The sequence below is a fragment of the Homo sapiens genome, chromosome 12 (assembly GCF_000001405.40).
Source record: "Homo sapiens chromosome 12, GRCh38.p14 Primary Assembly".
NCBI lineage: Eukaryota > Metazoa > Chordata > Mammalia > Primates > Hominidae > Homo > Homo sapiens.
The window spans coordinates 108,067,716-108,071,002 of NC_000012.12; the positions used below are offsets into that span (position 1 = coordinate 108,067,716).

A 3,287-nucleotide genomic window follows, 5' to 3' on the forward strand; every position below is an offset into this window, starting at 1 on the left:
TTTGATGGGGAATCTCATTCTGTCTCCCAGGCTAAAGTGCAGTTGCCTGATCTCGGCTCATTGCAACCTCAGCCTCCTGGGTTCAAGCAATTCTTCTTCCTCAGCCTCCCGAGTAGCTGGGACTACAGGCGTGTGCCACCATGCCCTGCTAATTTTTGTATTTTTAGTAGAGACGGGGTTTCACCATACTGGCCAGGCTGATCTTGAACTCCTGACCTCGTGATTTGCCCACCTTGGCCTCCCAAAGTGCTGGAATTACAGTCATGAGCCACTGCACCCGGCCCACACCTGGCTATTTTAAAACTTTTTTTTTTTTTTTTTTTTTGTAGAGACAGGGTCTTGCTGTTGCCTAGGCTGGTCTCAGAGTGATCCTCCTGCTTCAAGTGATCCTCCTGCCTTGGTCTCCAAAAGCACTAGGATCACAGGCATGAGCCACCACACCCAGCCTAGATTGCCTTTTTTAGGGAACTTTCCCTCCACCTCTTTATGTCATGCCAGACACACATCCCTAGCTCTCTTCTGACTGCTGGTGTAACCATGTAACCCAAACTAGGTCCTCAGTCTCTTCCTTGAAAATTTGAATCTTGGGTAGATACAAGAATAGTTGATTTATTTGTCCTTCGGACTGCCCGCCATCCTGCTGCTGAAGTCCTGGCACTGCTTGGTCACTAGCCTTCCTGAGTCCTGTTGCTTAGCTCATGTTTCAATTCTGGGAGCTTCCCAGTAACTTTCCAGTTTACTTTTTCCTTGCTTTTTTCAGTTAGATTTGATCTGTGCATTTTTGTTTTTAATAGAAAGAATCCAAAATGATGCAGAGCTGGCCACTAACCAAGAGGAAGGACCCCAAGTCTCTGTAATGTCTGCTTTAAAAAAGGATTTTGGTGGGGGGCAATGGGAAGAAGTCTTCACATAATGATAGCTCAGCAGTGACCTGAGCATTTCAGAGCCCTCTTCCAGATTTCTGTCAATTCTCAGAAGAAGCCATGTTTCTATGGTTCTTGCTTCCCCACTTTGTAGCTCCACATCAGTCCAGACATGAAACCCAGCTTCTTGCTTGAATCTCATTGTTTTAAAAAATAGAAAGACATCCAATTACATGACTCATTTTTGAGGTTAGGAGAATTTTCTGCAGATTTCAGGGGTGGTGGTGGAAGACAGAGGAGGGGTTAACATTGCTTTAATGCAGACAATTTCCAAATGGAATGTTAGGTATCATGGCTTTTCAAATGTCCCCTGACCAACACTCTTTGGGGTGGGTGGTGGTCAAGGGGTGACTCAAACTCCCTTTCCCTCACCAGCTCCAGCTCTTGCCATCTTGCTAGATTTTCTCTTCCTCTCCTCTCTCTTTTCTTTCTAATCTCCCTTCCCGACTCCACACCCTGGAAGAAAGCATAAATTATTCTTTTTGTCGAATACAGAACCAATTCTGACATTTCTCTAAAACCTTTGGAGATTTGGCATCCAGGTCTTTGTAACTTCCCTTCTATTCAGTAGCCAGCTGTTGGCATAATAATACTTTATCTACCTCGTTGCAATGATTATTTTTAGATGTGATCACAGGTAAGTACAGTAACTGTTGTCATAGCCTGTCCCTATCACCTTCCACATAGCTTTCCAAGGATGTCATCCCAGGAACCAGGGATCTGTCGGCAATTCCAGGCATCTGCTGAGAACATACGAATTGGTGAGGTTCAATGTCAACATGTGGGCTGTGGGAGGAATAAACATAAAGAAGAATGGCTTCCATTTAATCGAGCCGCCATCCAAGCACTTTGCCTGTATTACCTTATTCAGTCGCCATGAGGCCCCAAGAGGTGGAGTACCAAAATGACCCCCAACCCCAGATACAGAAATTGCAGTTTGGTGGAGCCAGGTATATCTGGGCCCCCAAGTCCCATGACCTCATCTGTTCTCTGCTGCCTCTGGCTTCAGATGGAATAGGACTCTTTCTGTCCCGCAGTTCAGATCCCCACCTCTACCCTCCTATGAGCTGGATTGCATTTTTAAAATCCAGTTTTGGATCATTTTTGCCCTCCAAATTGCTTGGTAACAGCAAGAGCCTAGAGTCCTGCTCTTCATGCTCCAAATTGAATCACATCCATCAGCCCCAGTGCCAGCACTATTGTTCCCAGGGCTTACCCAGGTTTAATTAGAATATTTTTATTTTCCCTAGGAGAGAGAGGACAGCTGATCTCAGCTTAAATAACCTTGCCATGGGCTACAGCCTGGAACTGCAGGGCTCATGGGCTATGAGATGGAGCGGCCAGCAGGGGAGGGCATGGGAGGCTGTGATGCTGTGTTTGCGTGGGGGACCCTCTGTCTTTTCCCACCGTCTGTGCATCGTGATGTTAAAAATGGTGAAGAGGAAGCCTGGCAGGAAATGTCTTTGAAGGGGACACAGGAGCAAGCACCCCCCCCACACACACACACACAAACACACTAAGGTGTGAGGGACAAAGCAGTTAACTCATCAACACATAAACTGAAGTTCAAATGCAGCAACTTTGAAAGGCCCCATGTGGACAGGCTGGGAGGCCAATGTATGGTTCACCCCACGGAAGGAGAAAAGCAGCAGTGTAGGGTGGCACTGCCCAGCAGAAATAGAATGCCCGCCTCACATGCAACTTACAATTTTCTAGCAGCCACATTTTTTGAAAGTTTAAAATTTATTTCAAATTTATTTACATGGAACTTATCAAGTAAGTCTTTTGTGATTCTTTTATTTCCTCAGTTTCTGTAATTATTTACCACATACCAATTTTGTATTATGTTTTTATGAGCTTTGCAATTCTTTTCTTTTTTTCCCTTTTTAAGCCTTTATTTTGGGTTCGGGGTACATGTGAAGGTCTGTTACATAGGTGAACTGATGCCATGGATTTATTGTACAGAGTATCTCATCACCCAGGTATTAAGCTCTTCACCCAATAGTTATCTTTTCTGCTCCTCTACCTCCTCCCACCATCCACCCTCAAGTAGATCCCAGTGTCTGTTGTTCTCTTTGTGTTCATCGGTTCTCATCCTTTATCTCCCACTTATACATGAGAACATGTGATATTTGGTTTTCTGTTCCTGTGTTAGTCTGCTAAGGATAACGGCCTCCAGCTCCATCCATGTTCCTGCAAAAGACACTATCTCGTTCTTTTTATGGCTGCATAGTATTCCATGGTGTATATATGCCACATTTTCTTTATTCAATCTGTCATTGATGGGCACTAGGTTGATTCCATCTCTTTGCTATTGTGAACAGTTCTGCAATGAACATTCACGTGCATGGGTCTTTTGATACA

The 3,287-nt window shown here is 44.7% G+C and overlaps 1 annotated feature.

Moving 5' to 3' along the window:
- Positions 705-874: an enhancer, noted in NCBI's record as "experimental_24094 CRE fragment used in MPRA reporter constructs". NCBI's record gives its function as "activates a minimal promoter by MPRAs in K562 erythroleukemia cells, with activity observed for both the introgressed and non-introgressed 12:108462282 variant alleles {active_cell/tissue: K562}" and the evidence as "EXISTENCE:reporter gene assay evidence [ECO:0000049][PMID:34662402]".